General features: G+C 41.2%; 1 long non-coding RNA gene across 2 annotated transcripts; it reads left to right on the plus strand.

The window, feature by feature from the left end:
* The first annotated feature begins 315 nt into the window (after positions 1-315).
* LOC102724900 (uncharacterized) lies at positions 316-26,600 on the plus strand. Of its 2 annotated transcripts, none has more exons than XR_430432.4 (5): positions 316-448; positions 677-914; positions 4,134-4,306; positions 5,073-5,238; positions 26,449-26,600. It is a non-coding gene; the product is annotated as an uncharacterized LOC102724900 (long non-coding RNA). The 2 variants fall into 2 exon arrangements; XR_938122.2 differs by lacking the exon at positions 26,449-26,600 and adding an exon at positions 6,112-11,264.
* Positions 26,601-26,824: the final 224 nt, after the last annotated feature.

The following is a 26,824-nucleotide window of genomic DNA, read 5'->3' on the forward strand; positions in this document are numbered from 1 at the left end:
CAGTGGCCAAAGAGGGGGCTGGGACTATATTCCAATGTTGTCAGAAGTCATCATTCAGATGAAGGAACAGTAATGAAGTTTCAAACAAAATATGCATTGCCATATTTGCATTTGAGAAGAATCAAGCTGGGGTCACTACCTGTGGCCAGTAGATTAGATGGTGTCAGGCAAAGTTGACCAACCAGGTGATCCAAAGACCCCAGCTGTGCCCATAACTTCTTTATGATCTCATGCAAGGTCATAAACTCCACCCAAGTTCTTTGAGCCTCAGTTTTGTCTTCTGTAAAATGTAAGAAGCAATAACTACCTCTTAGGGATGTATAGAGAGAATTCCCGCAGGAGAGAGATGGCATATTTCAAATTGAGACTATTCGATCCAGGGGCTGGTCATCAAGATGGAGCAGGGTATAGAGAAGCCATTAGGGATGATACAGAACACCACCAAAGGGTTAGTAACGGTGGGGAACTGTTTGCACCCCGAAGCCTGAAAGAGTGAAGTAGGGTGGGATTACCTGGAAAGAGAGAGAGAGACAGAAGGAGAATGAGATTGAGGGAAGGGCTGCCTGGCAGGGGAAGCTGACGCCTTCAGGCAAGTGAAGAAGCCAGCCCGCAGCAACTCTGCAGGGAAGAATATAGGGAAATAAACGCCTTCATCTCTCTCTTGTCCCACCCGCAGAGCTCCTTCTGGGATTCTCTATTGGCTGAACTCAGCCAGAAGCTGCCAAGGGAGACCCCCACAACTGGATGCAGCCCACTGAAGTCAGCTTCCTGGGGTGCGTAGCTGAAGGTAGCAGGGAGCAAAAAGAATCTGAAGGGGAAGTGAACAATGTAGAGCGTATCTGTGCTGAAGACGTAAGGAGAGAGTGGAGGTCAGAAGCTGGCATGGTCCCTGGTGCATGTATCAGCCGCTAAAGGTAAGTCCCCTCCCACTGCCACAGCCCTGCTGTCCTTGGCATTAACTGACACCCCAAACAGAATACCCAGCTCAAGGACCTTGGGTCGGACCCCTCAGAGATTGTGGGACCCACCAAGTGGCCAGTCCTGGGCACTGCACAGACACGGGGCATGGGTTTGCCAGGAAGCCAGGCAGGCTTGAGGCCAGGGGCCGCTGGGGCTGTTTGTGCAACTCTGCCTGCTTGTAGCTGTGAGCTGCGTAGCCACGAGCTGTCGAAATCAAGAGGCTGACATTTAACATGCAGCAGCTTCCTGTGATGGATAAATATTAAACACAGCACGACCGACAGGACTAAGTAAATATCTATTAGTCTCCGAGATGGAGTCTGCAGGCACAAGGAGAGGATGTCCTAATTGTTCACCCTCCTTGTAATGTTAAATAAGCATCTCGCCAGACTTCAACCAGGAGGAGATGCCTTGCTTGGTTCTCTCAATTTCTCTCTCTCTGTGTCTCTCTTTCCCCCCCATCCCCGGTCTCTCTCTCTCCATCTTTTTTGATTTATCTCAATCTCTTTTTAACTTTATTATATTAACTCGAAGAGTCTTAAATTTTTTGAGACCAGGCCAGAAAAAAAAAAAAAAAAACATGAAAAAGTAAGCATTTTCATGACCTTCCTCCAAAGACTGGAATAGAAAGCAAAACTGCTGGAGACCCTAGTAATGGTACAATTCAACCTATTTCTTTATAAATGTTAAGAAAAAAAATAAATGGTGAAGGACAAGGAGGAAGATTGTGGCAAAAATCCCTAACCCATGAGGTCAAGTCTAGTGCTGGCTATCTTTCGTCTCCATTGGAAAGTCTAATTTTCTACCCTGTGTATGTGTGCATGTGTGTGTATACATATATACACATTATATTATCTATAATGTACTATCTACTATATATGTCTACCCTGAATATTAATATGTATATGATAGTATCTATTACACACACACACACACGCACACAATACATACATACACACACTTTGGCAACATGCTGCAGTGCCATGTTGCTGAGCACCATGCATTAAATCAGCCAATGCATGTTAACTATGCACCTGCTATAAGAGATACACTGTGCCAGGCCTTGAGTCAGAGGCGCAAACAAGAGAGAGTAGGTCATTGACTGTATTTGTTATTTACTGTTATGTAACACGTCACCACAAACTTTGTGGCCGAAAACTACAAACACTTATTATCTCATGTTTTCTGTGGGTCAGGAATCCAGGCTTTGCAAGATCCTCCGCTCAGGATCTCTTATGAAACTGCAGTCACAGTGTTGTCTGGGTCTGCAGTCTCATCTGCAAGGTTGACTGGGGAAGGAGCCACTTCCCAATTCATGTGTTTGTTGGCAGAATTCCGTTCCATTAACACTGAGTAATGAAGCCTTCTGTTTTTCATTGGCTATTGGCTAGAGGCTGTCTCCAGTTCCTTACCCTGGGGGTCTCTCCATAGGTTGGCTTACAACATGGCCACTGGCACCATCTAAGCTAGCAAGGGAGATAATGTATTCGCATATTAGCAAGATAGGCATTACAGTTTTATACAATATAATCATAGAGGTGGCATCCTATCCCCTTTGTAGCATTGGATAGAGGCAAGACACTCAAGGGAAGTGTCACAAAAGAGTGTGAGTACTGGGAAGTGGAGATCATGGGGCCCACCTTATAGTTTATTCTCCACACTGGCAATGGAGCTTATGTTCCAGTAGAGAAGGCAGACAACACATACATAGATCAAGAAAATCATCACTAATAGTGAAAAATGTCAGGAAGATCACCAGGGATCTTTGATCAAAGATAGTGAAGGGCTAGTTCAAGAACAATGTGGAGACAGAAGGAGCTACTTTACATAGGGCCCCAGAAATAGCCTCTCATGAAGAGATCAGTTTAGTGGAGACTTGATGAATGAGAAGAGCCCAATCTTGCTGTGGTGAAAGGTTACTCAGGCAGAGGGAATGGCAAGAACAAAAGTCTGAAGGCAGAAAGGAGGCCAGTGTCGTTGAAGTACAGTGGGCATAGTAGACTGTGGTTTGCAATAAGGTTGAGAGGTAGGCAGAACTCAAGCCATGCAGGGACTTATAGGCCAAGTGAGGGGAGGCATTAAAATTTGATTCTTAGGGTGACAGGCAGTGTATTAGTGCCCTAGGGCTGCTGTAACCAATTGTGACAAACTGTGAGGCTTTCAAAAATAAGAATTCACTTTCTTACAGTTCTGAAAGCCAGAAGTCAAAAACAGGTGTCGGCAAGGCCATGCTCCCTCTGAAGGCTCTAAGAGTTAACCTTTTCAGCGGGGCTTGGTGGCGTGTGCCTGTAGTCCCAGCTACTTGGGAGGCTGAGGCAGGAGAATCGCTTGAACCCGGGAGCTGGAGGTTGCGGTGAGCCGAGATCGCACCACTGCACTCCAGCCTCGTGACAGAGCGAGACTCCATCTCAAAAAGAAAAAAGAAAAAAGGAGTTAATCTTTTCCAGGCCTCTCTCCTGGCTCCCAGGGTTGCTAACACTCCTCAGTGTTCCTTACCTCTCAGGCATGTTGTTCCAGTCCCCGTTTCTGTCACCGCATAGCATTCTCTTCCTCTGTGTCCATTTAGAGTTTCCTTGTCCTCTCTTTATAAGGACACTGGTCTTGTTGGATTAAGGGTCTGCCCTACTCCAGTAGTACTCCCATCATAATGTACAGCTTAATGACATCTGCAAAGACCCTATTTCCAAATAAGATCACAGTCACGGGCTCCAGAGATTAGGACTTTAATATATTCTTTGGGGTGGGGAGACACCATTCAATTCACAACTGGAAGTCATTGGAAGGTTTGAAAAAGAGGAATGGCACTTTTTAAAGAGCCCTTAGGTTACTGTCTACAAAATAAATTTGGGGGCAAGCATCATAACCTGAATTACAGGTAGATGACCATGCAGATTCATGATGAAGATGGCTGAGTCAAGGGTGAGAACAGTGGCAAGGAAGGGAGGTCTCAGTAGGAGGTAGATGCACTGGGGTTGGGAAAGGATGGCTGTGCCCTCTTTGTTGTGATCTGTCATCTCAGTATTCTGGGAAGATGGCATCTGGTTGGCGAATAGGAATAGCAAGAGGAGGTATAGGGGGCACATACTGGAGAAGACCATGGTGGGGGCAGGAGGTGGGTGGCCATTGAGGTCTGTGTACAAATATTCCATCTCTCCTCCCTCCATTTGGAACAGAAGTGGAGAGTATGAACATAAGCAAGAGGAAGTGATGAGTATCCCTTCCAGGAGAACTCTAAGAGGCAGTGAGTGATTTGCTGGGCTCCCAAGCCCTCTGCTCTGATGACAGCAAAGCCCCAAATCATGGTGCCTCCATCAGTCGGGACCCCTCAGCAGAGCCAGCTTCACAGGTGAGCAACCTGTGCAGTCACACAGGGTCCCACAGTTAAAGGGACCCTGCACTTGGTTTATTGCTCTGTTGTCACCATCTTCAAATTCTTAGCAATATTTGAACAAGGGGTCCTGCATTTGCATTGTGCACTGAGCTCTGCAAATTACAGAGCTGGTCCTACCTCTGACTGAAGCCAGCGCTTTGCAACACCTCAGCTGTCTCTTGGGGAGCAAGTAGCATAAGTGAGAAATAAAAATTGTCTGAAGTCACTAAAATTCAGGAATTACTTTGTTACTGCAGAATAGCTTAGCCTATTCTAACTGCCCATGGAAGCAACGGCAAGGCCAAAGGCTTCTAGAGGGGAAAGAAATAAGCCTAGAAGAAAGAGCACTAAGATGGGCTCAAATCTCTTATGTTACGTTTTGAGCTCTGGATGAGATTTGCTTGAAAGGTATTTTTGTTCTTATTCTAAGGGCAACTACATTTCTAACTAGATCTATGGTATATTGGTATATGTCTTGGATAATACCTCTCAGACTTAGGCAGACCTGAGTTGCACTACTGGCTGTGTGACCTTGAGCAGATGACTCAACTCTCCAAGGCTCAAATTCTCACCTGTAACATGGGAGTGATCATGACAGGTTCTCCTTCATAGGGCTGTTATGATAATCCAAGTAAGTGCTCAAATCCTGGTAGCTGTTATCTTTGTTGTTGACTAATGAAGAGTGTGAGGCTTCCCCAAAGCCAGCTTCTCCATCTGATCCCTCTGAGTCTCACCCATTTAGCTGGAGTGGATGAATCAGAACTTTCCCCATGGGAGCATTTATAAAAAGGGGACACCCAGCGCAGAAGATGTTTTCCAGGGAGATCTCGGGGAGCCCAACAAGCCAAGAAGAGCAGAGCAAAGCATTCCAAGGAAGGACTCTAAGTCTGCAACCGAGCACACACGAGGTAGGTGCTTTTACCCCTGCTGTGCATTCAAGGAAAGGAGATCCGGAGAGGTTATAGCATCAGTCCCTAGTCACAAAAATTAGTAGCAGACCTGGGATTCATGCCAAGACATGCTGATGCCCTAACCAGGTCTCTTAACCACACCACTGCATGGCTTTTTGCAAAACTGTGGTTGATAAATTTTCCCTCTTTGTTATTTTGTGTCCTTCATGCCGGTAACTAACACGGTAAATTCCCATGCAAGTTTATTTCAAGGTTAACACTTGCCTTTGTAGATGACTTCCCTTGCTTTCTCTCATCAGAAATCCCTAACCGTGCGGGGTAAGCCTGGATGGCAAGGAGCTTAGAACACAACTCAGTGGTCATGAGCCTGACGTCATTCATCACTTTGCATACCTTCAAGTTCTTCCAACCTCCTCTCTCCTTCAAAAATCTTACTTAGGGCTCTGCCTCTTCCAAGAAGCAGTAGCAAGTCCCCCAGCTGATGAGCAGAATAAAAATTTTTACAAATGTGCATACCAATGGAGTTATTTTAGAATATGCCCAGGCCTGCAGAGGATGACTGCAAAAGCCCCTACTATTGGTAGAGCAGTGAGAAAATTGGTTTCACTGTCATGCCTTGTGTATTAGTTATCTATTGACTTATGCTAATTGACTGATGCTACATTTTTTAAAAAAACCACAAAACCTCAGCAGCATACAGCAATAAGTTTGCATTGCTTGTGCATTTAGGGTGCTCAGCCAGGTGGTTCTGCTGATCTTGCTGGGGATTACTCATGCCCAGGGCTTGGCTGGCTGTTGGCTGATTGAGACTGGCCTCAGTGGGAATGATTCTGGCATCTCAGTTTGCTCCATGTATCTCTCATCCTCCAGGGTAGCCTACGCATGTACGTCTTGCAGTGATGGCAAGGAGCAGGAGAAAGAAAGCCCATCCAAACAAGCATATTGGAAGCCTATGTATCCCATAAGCTGACATCTTGTTGCCCAAAGCATGTCATGTGCGTGGTCCAGAGTCAGTGTTGAAGGGCTCTGCAAAATCACATGGTAAAGACTGTGGTTTCAGGGAGGAGTGAAGATTTGTGCGCATTGCTCCAATTGACAACCATGGCACTAGGCTCAGGCCACACTTCTTCCTAACAAGAGAGCAAGTCAAAGCGTGGTTAGTTAAAGTCCATACAAAAACTCACTTTAACAGGCCTCCTCTGGATTGAACAGCTGATATTAAGTCATAAGGTACCACATCAGAAAGATACTGGGTATCTTTGGTTCAGCAATTCCATCACCAGGGACTTTTTCATCCTAAGGAAATCACTGCACGGTGGACAAAGATATATGCATAAGGATGCTCCTTCTGGCCAAAGACCAAAAACATAACTGGCCATCAGTAAAAGCCAAGTGAGTAAACTATGGTCTATATATGCAATGATCAAAGAAATAAAGGAAAATATATAATTCTCTAGAAAGTATCAAGTAATATGGAAGGAAACTAGGCAGGGGAGGAGAATGGGTGTGGGGGCAACAAGGAGAGGCCAGAGTGAGAAGGTGAGGCTGTGACCTCAGAATGATGAGGTGTGCGGGGAGGAGATTCCAGGCAGTGGGACAGCATGTGCAAAGGGCCAGCGTGTGTGAGGGGTCCTGATGTCACCAACACTACCACTAGCCCTCCTCCAAGTCCTCTCCCATGGGTCACATGAGCTCATATGGTTGCAATCCAATTTCAAAAAGGTCTCCTAACTTACCAGGCTCAAGCTGTTACTGAGAGTCCACCTTGACTTCTCAGGGGTCACTCCATTTTCCAAAGACCAACCAATTAGGTACAAGAGCAGAAGGGCTGTGGCCAAACAGACTTGCTGGAATTGCTCTTTGAAAGGGTATGAGCCAAGATTTTTTTATTTTTTCTTTTTTTAGACAGAGTCTCACTCTGTTACCCAGGCTGGAATGCAGTGGCACGATCTTGGTTCACTGCAACCTCCGCCCTCCAGGTTCAAGTGATTCTTCTGTTTCAGCCCCCCAAGTAGCTGAGACTACAGGCACAAACCACCACGTCCAACTAATTTTTGTATTTTTAGTAGAGACGGGGTTTTGCCATGTTGGCCAGGCTGATCTCAAACTCCTGACCTCAGGTGATCCCTCTGCCTTGGCCTCCCAAAGTGTTGGGATTACAGGTATGAGCCACCCCACCTGGCCCAAGATTTCTAATAGGTGGGTGCTACAGGTTGAATGTGTCCCCCAAAGTTGATGTGCTGGAAACTTGATCCCCAATGCAACAGTGTTGGGAGGTGGGGCCTGATGGGAGGTGTTTAATGAGGGCTCCACTTTCATTAATGAATTAATGCCAATTATAAAAGGGCTGACTCGAGGCTGCAAGTTTAATCTCTTGCTCTCTCACTCTTTCTCGCCCTTCCACCTTCTACCATGGAATGACACAGCATGAAGGTCCTCACTAGATACAGCCCCTCAATCTTAGACATCCCATTCTCCAGAACTGTAAGAAATAAATCTCTGTTCCTCATAAATTACCCAGTCTCAGGCATTCTGTTATAGTAATACTTCATGGACAAAGACAATGTGTGAGCAGAGGGAAGGGAGTAACCAATGGGACCAGAGACAGCCTGGGATGGAGGAGAAGAGAGAGGTTTTGCAAATCAGTTGAGCTGGCTTTGCCTGGCCCCACCATTTACCCACTTTATGACCAAAGGCCTGTCACTTCACCTCTTGGAGCCTCAGTTTCCCCGTGAATATGAGAATCACACCCACTGCTAAGGTCATAAAGATTCAATGGCATGCACAGTACTTGGCACATTGGATATACTCAACTGATGGTAGCTAGATATTGTTGTTGCTGTTTCCTCTATCTCATTCTCTTTTCCTGACTTCATAGAACAAAACCACAATGCACTTCAACCAGGGCCCAAGCTTCTATTGAGCATGAAGCAGTCTTTGTTTTCCCTGAGCCCTCTTTTGAATTTTAGATTATAGGTTTGATTAAGGATTCAAGATATTAGAATATGAGAATGCAAGTAACATTCTGTTTTTCCTGCTTGTAGATATTGATTTTCTGCCCCCATCTTTCTATTCCATGGAGTTTGATGCCCAGGGACACATGTGGGCTGAAACAGACTGCCTCACCCCCACACACTGAGGCAGGCCCAAGCCTCTAATTATAGGGCAAGTTTAGGGTGGTCAGGCAGTCAGTACCTGGGTAAAGTCAGGCCTGAATTCATTCATTTATTTGCTAAGAAACATATGAATTCATTTATTTGCTAGTGAACCCAGCATTTACTGTGAGCAGGCAGTGTACTGGGAGTGGAGAAGCAGTAGACAATACCCAGCCCCAAAGAACTCACTATCGTAAATACCATGATGATAATAATGACAGCTATTTACTAAACACTTGCTACAGGCACTGTCCTTTTATTTTCTAATTTGATTATCCTAACAGTCAACATCCTGCCACCTGCCTACATCTCCCCAGGTACCTGACTGTGATGTAAGACAGGCTAGAGCCCTCAGGGGAAAAGAGGTGTCTTCCCAAAGAACAGACATGGCAAAGGGCTGGCATGGTGGTCACCTTCGTCTGCTGGGCCACACACTCAGAGAGGCATGAGTAGAATGAGACACCAAAGAGGGCCTTGCAGTGACTGCTCACCAAAGAGGGGGCAGTTCTCATCTCCACATTCCCACCCTGGACCACAGCATGCTTGGTCAGAGTCTCTGGGATTTGGACAGTAGTAGCCTTTGGTCACTTGGAGTGGCTCTGTGCTGCATGACACATATCACTTTTTACTCGGAGACAGTGAGATGAACATGGAAAGTTCCCACTCTCTGCCAGGCCTTAGGAAGCAGAGGCAGGTTGAGGAGCACCTGACCCCAGCATGGGAGAAGGGAGGCCAGACAAGTGAACTGATCTTTACAGTGTGGAATGATGGAGGTGATAGTAAATATCTGGATGTCTATTCATGTGCCCATTTTATGGGAAAGCAGACTGAGGCTCCAAGAAGTTAAGCCATTTGTTCTCATTCTCAAAGCAAGCATAAAGTAAGATGGGGGCTTGAACTCAGATCTACTTGATAGGAACAGTCAAGGGCTTATCCATTCCCTCCTACGTGTCAAGTGTGGTTGGGACCTTAGACTAATAAGAGGAAATTTGTGTAGTTCTCACCCTCAGGGGCTGATAGCAGACTCAAATTGCCAAGAGCAGGACTCTGCGATTATGTTTACTTCTAAAATTCTTTCTTATTTCATTGGTTTTGGCATATGTATGCACCTATAAAAGCATCAACACATTCAAGATCATAAACATATGATCAATTGTGCCCCAGAAGTCACCTTGTCATCTTTTCCTCTCATCATTCCCCACTTCCACTATCACCCTGCAATCCAGGCAACCACTGTTCTGCTTTCTGTCAGTATAGATTCCTTTGCTTTTTCTATAATTCTATATGAATGGAATCATATAGCATGTAATCTTTTGTGTCTGGCTTCTTTAACTCAGCATACCTTTGAGTTTTGTCCAAGTTTTTGCATATGTCAACAGCTCATTCCTTTTTATTGCTAAGTAGTATTCCATTGCATGAATGTACTGCAGTCTGTGGATCCATTCACCTTTTGATGGGTGTTATTTAGATTATTTCCAGTTTTTGGCTATTACACATAGAGCTGCCATGAATATTGATGTACAGTCTTTGTATGAATAGATCCCTTCAGTTGGATAAGTATCTAGGAGTGAAATGGCTAGATCACATGGTAGCAGTATGTTTAAGTATTTTTAAAACCACAAACCATTTTTCAAAGAGGCTGTACAGTTTGCATGTCTAACAGAAGTGAATAAGAATTCTAGTGTCTCTCTGTCTTTGCCAACACCTGATAGGAATAGCCTTTTACATTTTGGACTTTCAAATCAGTATACAATGGTATATCATTGAGATTTTAATTTGAAGTATCTTAATGGCTAATGATGTTGAGCATCTCTTCATTGCTTATTTGCCGTCTGTATATTGTCTTTGTTCAAGCATCTATTCAAACTTTTTCGCCCTTTCTCAAAACTAAGCATCTTATTTTGAGATAGTTGTAGCATCAGTTTTGAGCATGTGCCCATTCTTTAATCAGGCTCTTTGTTTGCTTGTTATCAAGCTTTAATAGTTCTTTACGTATTCTGGATAAAAGTACTATATCAAATATGTGTTGTGAAAATATTCTCTCTAACTCTGTGCATTTTTAGATTCCTTTAACAATGCCTTTCAAAGAGCAAAAGTTCTTAATTTTTATGAAGTCCAATTTATCCATATTTTCTTATATGGATAATGGTTTTGGTGTCATATCAAAGATCTTTTTGCCTAACTCAGGGTCACAAAGATTTTCTGATATGCTTTCTTCTAGAAGTTTTATAGTTTTGGGTTTTATATTTCGATCTTTAATCAATTTTAACCTAATTTTTATTTTATTAAGTATGGACAAAAGGTATTAATTCTTTGGATATGAATAGCCCATTTTTCCAACATTATTTGTTGAAAATACTATCTTTCCACCACTAGATTGCCGAGGCACCTGTGTTGAAAGTCAACTGATTGTATATGTATGGGTAAATTTCTAGATTCTATTCTGTTCCATTGATATATTGATCTTTTTGCTAATACCATACTAGGAATAGGAGGAAACTTGGACTTAGCCTTTGAAATCAGGTACTGTAAATATATTTTCAATTTTATTTATCTTTTTAAAGAGGTTTGGGTTTTTTAGGTTCTATACTTTTCCATACAAATTTTAGAATCATTGTATCTTTTTTTCTACCAAATAATAAAAGCCTGCTGGGATTTTGATTGGGATTATGTTGAATCCATAGATCAATTTAGGGAAAATTGGCATCTTGATGACATTGACTCTTTTGTTCCATGAACATGGTATACCTCTTCCTCTATTTTGATGTTCTTTAATTTCTCTTAACAATATTCCCTAGTTTTCAATATGAAGGTTTTGCCCACCTTTTCTCAGATGTATCCCTAGTTCATATTTTCACATGCTATTGCAAGCAGTAGTGGGTTTTCATTTCAATTTTCAATTATTCATTACTAATATATAGAAATGTAGTTGAGTGTGTATATCAATCTTGTATTCTTCAGCCTTGCTAAATTTACAAGCTCTAGTGTAGATACAGCAGGTTTTCCAGAAAGATAATTATATTGTTTGCTAATAAATATAGATGCCTCTTATTACTTTCTTTTTCTTCCTTTATTGTACTGGCCAGAATCTCCAGAAAAATGTTGACTAAAAGTGCTATCAGACGTCATTGCCTTGTTCCTAATATTAAAGGGAAAGCATTCACTTACTTACCATTTAATATTGTGTTTGTTGTAAGTTTTTCATAGATAACCTTTATCAAGTTAAGAAAGTTTCTCTCTGTTTCTAGTTTGCTAGGAGTTTTTAATAGAAATTGATAGATATTGAATTTTTTCAAATTCCTGTTCTGTGAATACTGAGATAATTATATGGTGTTTCATCTTTAGTTTGTAAATATGATGAATTACGCTGATTTTTTAATGTGAAACCAAGGCTTGCATTCCTTTTTATCAATAAAAATATTTTTTGCTCAAGAATTTACTTTGTTTGACATTAATATAGCCACACAAGCTTTCTTTAATTAGTGTTAGGAAGTATATCTTTCCATCTTTTAATTTATTGCATCCTTATATCTAAATTAAATTTCTTATAAGAAGCAATAGTTGGGTCTTGCTTTTTTATTCAATCTAACAACCTCTCCTTTAATTAGGTATTTGAATAATTTTTATTTAACATGATTATTCATATGATTGGACTGAAATCTATCTTCTTACCATATTATTATTTACTTTGTATTTGTCTCATCTGTTTTTTGTTTTATTCTTCTTCTCTTCCAGTCTTCTGGATTTATTGAGTGTTATTTTATTATTCTGTTTTATCCCTTCTGGAATTAACCATAACTTTCTGTGTTATTGGTGGTTGCTTTAGAGTTTATAGCATACATCTTTAACTTATTAGAGCCTACCTTTAAAAAATACTAAGCTACTTCATATATTATATAGGAACCTTTCAACAATATGCTTCTATTTCTCCTCACCTGGCATTTGTGCATTTACTGTAACAATTTACATACTATGTATGTTATAAACCCCACAATACATTGTTAGTGTTCTCCCTTTAAACCATGAATTATCATTTAAAGGGATTTAGATGTTAGGAAAAAAAGTATTTTATATTTTCCTATTCAGTGACCATGCCCAGTGCTCTTTATTTCTTTGAATACCCATATTCCACATTAGTATCATTTTCCTTTGGCCTGTAGGACTTTCTTTAACATTTCCTGCAGAGTTTAACATGTCTTTTTTTAGCTTTAGCTAAAAAACGCTTTAGCTTTCACATCTTTTTTTTTTTTTAAAGAAATCTTTATTTCACTTTATTTTTTGTAAAATATATTTCCTGGATATATAATTCTAAACATTTTTTTTTTAAGATACTGCTTCACTATCTTCTGGCTTGCATTGTTCCTTATGAAAAGTTTACTATAATTCTTATCTTTTTCCATCTGCATGTAATATGTTCTTTTCTCTGTTCCTCTTTTTCATTGTTTTAGGTATTTATCATTTGTCTTGGAATAGATTTTATTTGTTTGTTTTTTGCATTTGAAGTCTGTTAAGCTTCTTGAATCTGAGTTTTCATCAAACTTTTTTTCCATCCTCTCCTTTCAGAACCTCCAATTACATGTGTGTTAGGCTGCTTAAAGTTGTCCCCCAGTTTACTAATGCTTACTAATGCTCTGTTCTATTTTTTAATTCTTTGTTCTTCTGTGTTTTGATTTGGTTTGTTTTTATTTCTGTGTCTTCAGATTCACTAATCTTTTCTCTTGCAATGTCTAATCTTCTGTTAATGCCATTCAATATATTTTTCATTTCAGATATGGTCATTTTTATTTCTGAAAATGTTTATGTCTCCATGTCTCCACTTAATATGCTCAATCTTTTCTCTAGGTTCTTGAACATAAGAAATACAACTTTAAAAGCTCTTTCAATGTCCTTGCCATTTTGACTCAGTTTCAGTAGACTGATTTTCTCCTCATTATGGGTTCTATTTTCCTGCTTCTTTGCATACCTGGTAATATTTTGATTGTGTGCCAGCTATTGTGAATTTTATCCTTTCAGGTGCTAATTTTTTTGTATTTCTATAAATATTCTTGAGCTTTGTTCCTAGATGCAGTTACTTGGAAACAGTTTGATCCTTTCAGGTCTCGCTTTTAAGCTTTGTCAGGTGGGACCAGAAAAATGTTTGAACTAGGAGTAATTATTCCGAGTACTAAGGTAAAATGTTTCTGAGAGCTCCACCTGATGGAACAGGAGTTATTCCTGAGTACTATGGTATCTAATCCTTTCAAGTGCTTCTTCCTCTTTGCCTCTGGTCATTTCCTCACAAGCATTTGTTGATAAGCACTCTGCTGAGTACTTAAGGAGAGCCCTCTGCAAATCCCCAGAGCTCTCTTTTCCAGCTTTCTCTCTCTGGTACTTGGCTCTGCCAATTGTAGCAGATTTGGCCTCCCTGGACACCCAGGCTTATCTCCTCCATTTAAGAACACCCAGATCTGTCTGAGTTCCCTCTCCCTATGTTGTGGACTGGAGTCTCTCTCAAGGTATAAGCTGGGGCAATTGTAGAGCTCACCTCATTTGTTTGCCATCTCTCTGGGATCACTGTTCGTTGATATCTGATGTTCGATGTCTTGAAAACCATTGTTTTATGTGTTTTCTTTTGTTCTGTTTTAGTTGTTTCATATGGGAGGGTAAATCCAGGCCCTGTTATCCCATCTTGCTGGAAGCAAAAGTCCTTGTATGATTAAGTTCTCATAAAAAAAAATAATAAAGATATGAAGAGGGGCTCTAAAATTGGGAAATTGGTGTGATCTAGGGATTTATTTTGTACCGGGCCCTCTAATTTTACCTTCATGTAGATCTCCCCTCTCCGGTACTTGGGGATGGTAATGCTATACTCACTTTATAGAGGTCCCTGGGTCCTCAGGTAAGTGAGGTCCCAGGCCTTTGAGGGAGCTGTCCCAGGTAACAGAACTGACATTTGAATATAGGTCTGTCTAATTACGCTTGCCATCCCACCTCACCAGCTTACTTGTTCACTCAAGCACCAGAATGAATGAATGAATGGAGTGGTAGGAAGAAGTGAGTAAACACATGCATCAATGTTTAACATAGCTGCGGTTCCTCTCATTTCTCACAAATAATAAAAATGTCAGCACTGGAAGGGAACATCTGTAGGTCATCTTGACCCATTTGAAAGGCTCAAGGAAGGCAAGGAATTTACCTGAGGCTGCACAGCCAGGGAATCAGCCCTGAGAAAGATCTCCTCTCCCCCTCTTCCTTCTCCAGTTGAGGCTAATAAAGCAAGAACAGCATTCTCATAGTATGTATATGTGTGTATATATATATTATTTGACTTTAAAGATGTATTTAAATATATCGCTTTCACCTGGGCTTGCAAACAGTCAGGTTTTATTTGAACAAATTAGTCCTGAGTGCATGGCGGAGTGCTGGGTGAGGGAGAGAGGTCAGAGCTAACAAGGAGAAATAAAGCAGGCATGTGCCGTTAGGCTGTGTCGAGGCTTATTTAGAAAACATTCTCAGTCCACTCTCCTCCGCAGCCGGTAACTTAATCTGGAGGGCTCTTCTCCCGGACCCACTCCAGGCTGCTCTCACTCTGTCAAACCTGCTGGGACTGTTTTCTTAGAAAACCAGTTTGAAAGCAAACCATTAAAAATGACCTGTATTAAGGGGCTTTTCAGTGAGAGGAACCTAGGGATGAACATGAGTTTGCAGGAAGATAAAGTCCAACTTGGTCTGCAACAGTGTATTAATTGGGACTCCTTCTGCTATAAATTATAAAACCCAACTCAAACTAGGTTAGTGAATATATAATAACTATATCTATGAATACATTATATAACTATATATACAGTAATATGCTGCATAATGACATTGCAGTCAATGACAGGTCACATACACAACACTGGTCCCATAAGAATACGATACCACATTTTTTTTTTTTTTGAGACGGAGTCTCGTCCTGTTGCCCAGGCTGCAGTGCAGTGGCGCGATCTCGGCTCACTGCAAGCTCCGCCTCCCACGTTCACGCCATTCTCCTACCTCAGCCTCCCGAGTAGCTGGGACTACAGACGCCTGCCACCACGCCCGGTTAATTTTTTTGTATTTTTAGTAGAGACAGGGTTTCACCGTGTTAGCCAGGATGGTCTCCATCTCCCGACCTCGTGATCCGCCCACCACGGCCTCCCAAAGTGCTGGGATTACAGGCGTGAGCCACAGCGCCCGGCCCACATTTTTACTGTACCTTTTCTATGTTTAGATACACAAATACTTACCATTGTGTTACAATTGACTACAGTATTCAGTACAGCAACATGCTGTACAGCTTTGTAGCCTGGGAGTAAGAGCTCCTAGGTTCCATAAAGCCTAGGTATGTAGCGGGCTACACCATCTAGGTTTGTGTAAATGCACTGTGTGATGTTCATACAGTGAAATCATGTATGATGTTCCCACAATGCATTCCTCAGAAATACCCCAATTGTTAGGTGATGCATAACTGTAAATATATGTGTGTGTAAATATACGTGTGTGTGCACATGGCACACACATCTGTTCATGTAACTGGGAAGTTTATTGGACTACTTTAAGGTACAGTTGAGTCCATTTGTTTTTGTTCCCTTTTAAAATAACTTTATCATTGCTCTTACAAAATGAATCCATTGTTGTTTAAGAAAAAAAAGTAATATATTAAAAAGTGGGAAAAAAAAATAAAAATCACCCAAAACCTGTCATGCAAAAATAATCGTAGTTTTTCCTAAGCTTTTTCAAACATCCTTAAGATTGATAGGTATGTAAATATTGTAAATTCTAATGTTTGTCTTCTTTTCTGATTCTAAGGTCAATAAACACTCATGGTCAAACATTTGGGAAAGAGAGAGAAGTATAGAGTAAAAGTAATCAATCAGAATTCAACCAACAAAGAGGTCATCTCTGTTAATGTTATAGGATTTGCTTTTTAACTTTTCACCCTCTTTTTCTGTGTTTAATATATACTGTACATCATACATCATGTATGTGTATTCATTCAAAAGAAGGTAAAGTTAACATTGGATCATTTAGGAATCCCAGGCAGAAGACAACAGGTTGAGCCCTTCAGAATTCCCTAATATTTACCACTGGGCAACCAGTTTGTCTTTCTCAATTAAAAAAAAAAAAAAAGTCCAGTGAAATCAGGTCATTCAATGTCAGTTTTTAATATTTAGAAAATATTTTCTCAGGTTTCTGACAGGAAAAGTAACTCTCATGCTGCTCTCTGAAGCTCTGCTTTTGTGGACACAGAATAGGCCATATTGGTTGCATCCTTTTCTCCTTACCTTCCGCCTAACGCCCCCCAGCCCCCAACTCTTGTGCAAATGGTTCCACCATTGCCGGAAAGTGCTAGAACAGAATGGCTGTGCTTAAGAGCCATCAGTGTGGTCCTGTACCAGTGAGTTAGGGATTAAGTAGGACTTTTGGCTGCTCCCCACCAATCCCCAGCCTGTCTGCTCACTTACAGGAACAGGCTGGAAAACCTCTTTGAGCCTGGGCTTCGGTATTGATACCATTATAGAAATCACAAGTCTCCACTGCGTTTTCTTTGAAAGGTATACAAATACATTATGCTTTTGTGGGGTCTTGGAGACAATCTTCTTGTATTTGGGCAAATTTGGCTTGGCGGTGAGGCCGGAGGTATGGCCAGGAAAACCCTGCACTACTCTTTTAAAGACTGTTGTTAAGAGGAACTTGTTTAAGAATTTTACACATGACTGCTTCCCACTGGGCGTGGAAGAGCTGCTTCTGGGGCATATGCAGACACAGCTTTAAATAGCCTTGACCCATGGAATGAAGTAGACCTTCCACAAATCCCTTTCGATCTGATTATATGGGAAGATTTCACTTGTTATACTTGTTTTTAACACTTCTCTAGCACTTGCTAATCTCCCTTTTTAAGCAGCAAATAGTCTTCAAACACAAAACTTTTGGTGAGAATTGCTTATATGGCCAGCTACATGTAATAGAATATTATAACTGTATTCCACCCACTCTAAGATGCCATGATTGTTCAAATGCGCCATTATTTTTGCATACCTCTAAGAAAGAAAACCAATCTTCCAATTAGTTGTAAAAGACCATTTGTTGTAAGTTACATTTTAATTCCCAAGTTGCTAAAGTATAAAAAAAAGAAACAGACAAAACCCTGTATGTCCTGGTAATGTCAAAATTTAATATTCTCACTGCTTTTATATGTATGATTGCCTTCTATTTATGGCTGATGGTGACGGTTTTACATTTACAAGTGTTACATAAATTATCTTTTGAAATAAATGTTTTTAAAAATCAAGTGGATTGATTTAAAGAAAAACCTCAATTATAACACTATGGATACAGATACTGCAAGCTGGTTTATGAACAACTAAAGATTGTGAAATCTCACTACAAGTGATTTGGCAAGGCTGGTACCACGTCATCTCCAGGACTTTCTTAATACTGAGTGAGAATCTCTTATGACTGGAGACATCTTGTTACCAGCAGAAGAGATCCGGGTTACCCCAAGTTACTGCTCTGTATCTGTGTGGATCTGCAGCAACTTCAGCCCTTGCCTCCTCAGAAAGAAGAATTTGATTGAGGGGCATAAAGCAGAAAAAGAGACTGAGGCAAGTTCCAGAGCAGGAGTGGAGGTTTATTAAAAAGTCTTTAGAACAGGAAAGAGAGGAAAGAACCCTTGGAAGAGATCCAAGTGGGCACCTGAAGGTCAAAGAGAGAGAAAAAAGTAGGTCATTTAATCTTGATCCTAGGACTTTATAGGCTCACCTATTTCCCATGATTCTTCCCTTAGGGTGAGCTTTCTGCATGTTCAGTGTTTTCCTCACCCTTGGGAATTGAGGATGTGCAGTGTATTTAGGGAGTTACATGCATGCCCATCTGAGGCTTTCATCCTTTTTCTGGTGGTGTACCCAGAAGATCATACTTTGCCATTTTTGTCTCTTAATGTGTATGCCCAGGGAGTTGCTTCTCCCTGGGGCCTGGCTTTAATTAACACTTTATTGTTAATAAGTGTGGACCATCAGGAAATAGCCTCTCCCTGGTGCCAGCTGCCAATTTATCACTTTCAGAGAAGCAATGTAATAATTGCTGAGCCATCACCACAAATTTCTAGTGGGTGGGGGGAGAACCCTCTCCTGCCCTGCTCATTCCTAACTACCTGTAATATAGAGAGAGTTTCCCCCTTCTCTTCCTTTGCTGGGACCAAATTCTAAGCTGCATTCTTTACTATATTGGTCAGATGGAATCTCTTGCTGGATTCAAACCAAGACATGGTTTATGTGCAAGTCCTTTCTTATCACCATTTAGCCATTCTTGAGTTCCACATTTTGCTATATTTGTTGTCTGTAGACCATCCTCAAGTAATTTTTTCTAGAAGAGAATATGAAGATATGCTTTTTAATACTAAAAATAGATAAGAATGTTTTCTTCTGCCACTTCCAGACAATAAAAACAGTTTGGCTGGGTATAAAATTATGGGGTCTCATCTTTTATTCTTTTAAGTTGCCCTTTTGGGGACATTTATTATTGCAGGGAGAAATCTTAGTCTTTTGAAGTTAAATTATTATTTTAATGTTTAATGTTTTCTGTCTAAATCCTTAGAAGATTTTTCATTTACCTTTGGAATTCAAAGCCAGAATTAATCTAGTCATGGTCATTTTTTTCATTACTTTGTTCATAACCTGGTGATATTTTTCAAGACACATTATTAAGGTTTCCTTAACTCTGGAACTTTTTTCCATTGTATCTTTGATTAATACTGGTGCTATAATGCCTGACTCTCATGATGGTTATTATAATTAATTGATATTTCTCTCATAAAACAATTAGGGTGATGCCTGGCATCCACTGAGTGCTCAACAATTTTAATTATCTTATCTGTCTCCTTTACAGTCATTTTCTAGGGTATTTGGGCTTCTTATTTGGATAAAGCTCATATTTTTTATAAATTGGTGTTGCCTGTCATTATTTTCATTAGATCCCTAGTAATAGGTCCAAGACAGGACACTTTATGATCCCCTGAAACATAAGATACAACTCCACCTTGGTGAAAGAGACTTTGAGATCTGACCCTAATCTCTAAGAAGGCACCAGACTTTTGATCTCATACAAGCCAAGAATAGACTCTCATAAAACACTTTGAGTATACAGCTATGCATTCCAAACTTTCAGTGAGTAAAAAAGCATAAAAATTTATCAACTTATAAATTCTTTCTACAAGTGCAATTAGGCTGGCTAAGCAAAAGTAAACAGGATAAAAGAGTATCTCTTAAAAGAGGAAGAACTTTTTTCAAGCAGTTGTTAAAGACCTATCTACAAATTGCTTATATGTTAATTATAAATCAAGTACTCTAGAAACACCCATTGATAAATGATTTTCATGCAAATTATAAATTGCTTAAGAGAGCTCATTCACAAAATGATCTGTGCGCTAATTACAAATCAAGAAACTTAAACATACACATATACAAATGGTTTATGTGCTAATTACAAAAGGCATTTTAGAGACTATCATTTACAAATTAAATACATGCTCATTGCCCACTAAATACTTTAGAAATTTCTATGTACCAATAATTTTCATGCTAGTTACACAGCAAATAATCTGAAACATACACAGTGTTTGCAAATAATCCATGTGCTAATTACACAACACACACTTTAAAAACACCAATGTAAAAATGATTTGTGTGCTAATGACATAACAAACACCCTAGAAACTCCCAGATACATATGATTTATGTCTAATTACACATCAGACACTTCAGGAACACCCATGTGCAAATGATTTATGTGCTAATTACACCGACACTTAATTTCAAAAATGTCTAACAACAAATTATTTGTATGCTAATCACAAATCCAAACACTTACAATTGATTTATGTCCTAATGGTTAGCTGCTCTTATTTTGTTTCCTTTAAGGACCCACCATCTCAACAGATTGACAGCTTTCTTCTGATTGGTACTTATTATGAATATAAATAAAATGTCTGAGTCTGTATTTACAAAGGTTTTGGGATCTTCTCTTTATTCTCCCTTCCCCAATTCTGCCCAATTGTTGCAGTCTGATTACATTTTGGGGTATAGTGAATTGAAGGATTTAACCTTTTTTTTTTTTCTGAGATGCAGACTCGCTCTGTCGCCCAGGCTGGAGTGCAGTGTCATGGTCTTGGCTCACTGCAAGCTCCGCCTCCCAGGTTCATGCCATTCTCCTGCCTCAGCCTCCCGAGTAGCTGAGACTACAGGCGCCCGCCACTACACCTGGCTAATTTTTTTTGTATTTTTTTAGTAGAGACAGGGTTTCACCATGTTAGCCAGGATAGTCTCGATCTCCTGACCTCATGAACCACCCGCCTCAGCCTCCCAAAGTGCTGGGATTACAGGCGTGAGCCACTGCACCTAGCCAGGATTTATCTATTAGAGCAGGCTGAGAAGTATTACTTAGGGTAAGAGTGTTCTCTTCCTTTTGTCTGTTTCATTGGAACCATCAAATTAATGTAATGAATGAAGTATAGGTGCTTATTAGCCACTCAGTCTATATACTAATCTTTCATGTTCAAAGACCTATTACTGTCCTCAAATGTATTTATGCAGAAATTTTGTCCATCATGGCCACTACTGCTTCCTTATGCCCTCTCTAGCATGTGATAGCTTACAAAAAAATTTTCCATATTCATTATCTTATTGGACTTGCTTCTTATAAAGGAGGAAGGACTCAAAAATAGAGGTTAAAAGTTCCCGTTTTGCAGATGGGAAAACTGAGGCTCAGCATAGCCAAGCAGTATTTCTCGTGGCAGACTTGACTCCAAAGTCAGCCAAACTTCACAACTAACGGTTTTTCTTCCAGTTGACATTCCTCCACAGGAAAACCTTCCATGGCCATCTTCCCAGAAGTCTCTAGAACAAAAACACCAACACTGCCCATAGGATGGGATCCACTCTCCCCTGCTACTGCATCCCATCCTGTCTCCTCCTGGCTCTCTCAGATCCCTGGCCTCTCCCTCCACACCATGCTGGCGTTTCAAACCAGACTGGGGGCCCCAGCACGCTTCTCACCTCTTTAAGAGTGAAAATGTATATCCCAGAGATTGCTGCTTAATTGGCTGATTAATAACAGAAAACCTAATTGAATGCTCCCAGCTCGTATGTACGATGTCTTAATGTTAGAGCCTTGGGAATAAACACACAGCAGGGAAGTCTGAACCGCAGCACAAGCACTAGCACTTTCAATTTAAAAGTCAATCTCATTATACAAGAAGCTGTTGCCTTTATCCCCCTGGAAAAGCTCACACTCTCAAACCAGATTCCCCTTGTACCAGCATCCTCTGCTCCATCCTGTCTCTGAGTGACGCAAATATTAGGATAGGTCCCCTTTTTCCTTCTTTCCCCTTCCCCTCTCCTTCCCTCTCTCTGTCTCTGTCTCTCTCTCTCTTTCTGTTTGTTCTCCCTGCTGCATATCTGAGCAGCTCAGTAAATATTCATGAAATGCCATTGTGAGGTCTGTGAAGAGCGCAGACAATGGGCCGTCAGAGGTGATGTGCAATTTGGCATCGCCAGCACCCAAGGGTGAGGGAGGCAGTGAGGTGCCTCCAAGTCAAGCCTCATGTTACATACTGGTCCGTTCAGCTTTCTCCTTCAGGGCAGCCTGACTGGAAGTCTTATGGTGCTCAGAAAGCTGAGCTAGGTATTCTTGGCTGGGCTTAGAGTGACCAGGGAAGAGTCAGTAAGGGCTCCCGTACCCTAGGCTCGTCCTGGTCAATCACAGCATCTGAGGTAGGGCTGAAGCTCCTGGACAACTTTATTAATCAGCAAAGGGCTGCCATAACAATGTAGCACAGACTGGGTGGCTACCTTCTAAACAACAGAAATTTATTTTCTCCCTGGTCTGCAGGCTGGAAGTCCCCGTTCAAGGTGTAGCAGGGTTGTTTACTCCTGTGTCCTCTCTCCTTGGCTCAAAGATGGCACCTTTACGTTGTGTCCTCAACATGGTCTTCCCTCTGTGCATGCAGAGTGTCTTTCTCTGTATCCAAGTTTCCTCTTAAAAGGACACCAATCAGACTGGATTAGGACCCCACCCTAAGGACTTCATTTTAACTTAATCATCTCTTTATTTATTGTTATTATTATTATTATTATTTAGAGGCAGGGTCCTGCTGTGTCGTACAGGCTGGAGTGCAGTGGTGCAATCATGGCTTACTGCAGCTTCAACCTCTTGGGCTCAAGCCATCCTCCTGCCTTGGACTCCCAAGTAGCTGGGACTACAGGTATGCACCACCACGTCTGGCTAGTTTTTTAAATTTTTTGTAGAGACGGGGTCTCTCTATGTTGCCCAGGCCCAGGCTGGTCTTGAGCTCCTGGGCTCAAGCGATCCCCCCACCTCAGCCTCTCAAAGTGCTAGGATTATAGGCATGAGCCACTGCACCCTGCTTTAATCACCTTTTTTTTAACTTTTATTTTAGGTTTAGGAGTGCATATGCAGGTTTGTTACATAGGTAAATTGCATGTCATGGGGGTTCGGTGTGCAGATTATTTCATCACACAAGTAATAAGCATAGTACTGAATAGGTGGTTTCTCCATCCTCTCCCTTTTCCCACCTGCCACTCTCAAATACACATGTGGTCATGTTAATCACCTCTTTAAAGGCCCTATCTCCAAATACAGTTGCCTTCTGAGGTACTGAGGGTTAGGGCTTCAACATATAAATTTGGTGGGGGAGTGGAGGGAAGACACAATTCAGCCTATAACAGCTTGTCTTTCTGCTTGGATTATCTCTAAAACTCCTCAACCTCAACATGTCCAAATGAATCCTCATGACCTTGAACCTCCGCCCAGGCCCCTGATGCCCTTGAGAATTTCCCATCTAGCAGAATGTCACCAACACAAGCTGGATACCTTTTGACTTATCCTGTCCACTCATCCCCCTGCCCAATTCATCTCCAACTTGCCCCGTTGACCTGACTCCCCAAATGCCACATCCCCAAGCCCAAGTTCCCATCATCTCTTTCCTGAACCTCCACTCCAACCCCCAGGTGTCTTTCTGCATCTAACCCTGCACATCTGCAGCCTATTCTGCAGAGTGGCAGAGGTATCTTCTTCAAGGCACATCTGATTATGTGCCCTTGCACCTGCTGAGCTTCCTGCATCTTCTCTGACCATCTCTTAAATGCTGATGCTCTTGGAATTCAGTCCCATCCATCTCTCTTCTCTCCATGTCATCTTCCTGAACACTCTCATCCACTTCTACAGCTTCAGTTACCGGCTAAAACCTTGCATTAGTCCGTTTTCATGCTGCTGATAAAGACGTACCTGAGACTGGGTAATTTATTTTTTATTAGAAAACAAACAAAAAAAAGAGGTTTAATGGACTCACAGTTCCACGTGTCTGGGGAGGCCTCACAATCATGGCAGATGGTGAAAGGCACATCTTACATGGCAGCAGACAAGAGATAATGAGAACCAAGAGAAAGGGGTTTCCCTTTATAAAACCATCAGCTCTCATGAAACTTATTCACTACAATGAATAAGAGTATGGGGGAAACTTCCACCATGATTCAATTATCTCCTACTGGGTCCCTCCCACAACACATGGGAATTATGGGAGCTATAATTCAAGATAAGATTTGGGTGGGAACAGGGTGAAGTGACTCACACCTGTAATCCCAGCACTTTGGGAGGCCGAGGCAGGTGGATGACCTGAGGTTAAGAGTTTGAGACCAGCCCCGCCAACATGGCAAAACCCCATCTCTACTACTAAAACACAAAAATTAGCCAGGCGTGGTGGTGCGCACCTGTAATCCCAGCTACTCCAGAGGCTAAGGCAAGAGAATCGCTTGAACCTGGGAGGTGGAAGTTGCAGTGAGCCGAGGTCGTGCCACTGCATTTCAGCCTACGTGACAGAACAAGACTCCATCTCAAAAAAATAAAAATAAAAAAGAGTTGGGTGGGGACACAGCCAAACCATATCAAACCTAGAGGCCACTCTTGATGGCTTCCAGATCATTCCCCAAACCCCAAGCCTCTCAACCAGCTTTCAAACCCAAGGGTCTTAAATGCTTTAATCCATTATCACTAAGCATAATAACAGCCCTGTAAATATTTGTAATGAGATACTTGGTGAAACAGAACTTGTAATTATTATTTTATTTTCATTAAAATATTATTTTAATAAATTAGTTTATTTTCACTAAAAGAACCCACCAGTCACTTCTCTAGGTTGACATGGTAAGTCACCCTGTGGTAAAATTTTGGACTGTAAAAGAGCCACATAAGTGGTGTCTCCAGTTAAGGTGAAAACCCATTCCTTGAAGGAAAGGTATAATAGAACCATTGGCACATGACTGCCACTCTCCCCTCCAAGATTTCTCAATGGGCAAGGATAAATTTACATTGTGGTTGGAAAAGAAGCCACCTGGGAGCAGAGAGATTGAGACCTGAACTCACTTTGTTGCAAAATTCAACATTTTTAGAACTTCTTTGCAGGGTTGGGGAGGTCCTGGATGAAGCAAATTGGTGGCGGGTTCAGGGGGTGGACATCTAAAGCCCTACAGTGGAGATCACTGTGAAGAAATGGGGTGTCTAGTCTAGAGATGCAGCCTCATAATAACATCTGGGTGCTTGGGGAAAAGGACCATAGCTGAAATGGATAGACCCTCTAGTCACAGCCCCCTGATTTGATTGTTTCTAAAACACGACCACCAACCTATAGTGTTCAGTGACTGTGTGGTTGACTGTGGCTTCTAAAAGACTACTTGAGACCCTGAGCATGGAGCAGTTCTGTAATCTGGACAGGAATCTGGAACAACATCCTCAAAACTTGGGAAACAGGTGCCAGACTTCACCAGACAAGTTCCCAACAGTGGCACATTGTGGAGACTAAAGACTAGATAGTGATAATTTATGAATGAAACTCTAGTTTACTCTACACCTGTCTTCAGAAGCAAGACTGACCTCCTTGGAACAGACTTTCTGGACAATTTGCTGGCAGAGGAAGAGACCACAAGAGGAAAAAAGTGGACTTCCTGGTAATTTAGGGGTTTGATTAACAAATTTGAATATTTAAAAGAGATGTTATTTTCACTAAAGAAGATAGCTAAATGGTAAATAAGCCTATTCAACATTATTAGTCATCAAAGAAATTCAAGTTAAAACTACAATGACATATCACCACACACCCTTGAAAATGGCTAAAATAAGGACTGATATTATCAAGTGTTGGGGAAGATGTGGAGCAACTAGAACTCTCATACTCAATTTGGGAGTGCAAATTGGTTCAATCTCTTTGGAAAACTGTTTAGCAGTAGCTACAAAAGCTGAAAGCATAGACTGTGACCCAGTAATTTCATTTCTGGATATTACTACACATATATACACAGGAATGTTTATATATTTCCACCAAAGTGCCTACGCAAGAATATTCATAGCAGCACTATCTGTAATAGCCTAAAACTAGAAACTACCTAAATGTCCATCAACAGGTTAAAAAAAGATAAATTGTGGTATGTTTCTATAATGCATTGTTACTCAGAAAGAAGAAGGATGAGGAGAATGTAACAACATGAAAGAAACTCACTGCCCTAATATTGAGCACAAGAAACCAGAAATACATACAGAAAAGTATACCATACTCATTGTTCTATTTATATGAAATTCAAGAACTGGCTAAACTAATCTATGATGACAGAAGTCAGAATATGATTACTTTTGGAAGGAGGAGCATTAACCAAAATGGGACATAAAGGAGGCTGTTGAGATACCTGAAATATTCTTGTCATAATCTGGGTAGTGTTGTATGGGTATTGCCATGTATTAAATTGTGTCTCCCCACACCTTCAAATTCATACTTTGAAGCCCTATTCCCCAATATGGTTATGTTTAAAACTAGGGCTTTTAGAAGGGAATTAAGGTTAAATGAGACCATCGGTTCCCTGATCCCATAAGATTAGCATCCTTATAAAAGAAACAGCAGAGTTTGTGCGCTCACTCTGTCTTTCACTCTCTGTTTCTCTGTCTGTCTCCCCCTCTCTCCCTCTCTTCCTCCTGCTCTCTGCATGCATAGCACAAGGAAAGACCATGTGAATACACAGCAAGAACGTGGTGCTCTGCAAGTCAGAAACAGACCCGTCATCAGACACCAAATCAGCCAGCACCTTGATCTAGGATTTCTGGCCTCCAAAACAGTGAGAAAATAAAATTCTGTTGTTTAAGCCATGCAGCCTGTTGTATTTCATTATGGCAGCCTGAGCAGAATAAGACAGGTATATACAAATGCAAATTCTATTAAGAAATCTGTATCTTTTACCCTATTGAAGTAAGTTATACCTCAATTGAAGAATAAATAAAAGAGAAAGAAGGAGCAGCACAACCTTGTTTGTATTCCCAACCTGGTGAGTGGGTGATATAGGTTGCCTCTCACTGTGCCCACTCAGCTGATG

The sequence above is a fragment of the Homo sapiens genome, chromosome 22, assembly GCF_000001405.40.
Source record: "Homo sapiens chromosome 22, GRCh38.p14 Primary Assembly".
NCBI classification, from domain to species: domain Eukaryota; kingdom Metazoa; phylum Chordata; class Mammalia; order Primates; family Hominidae; genus Homo; species Homo sapiens.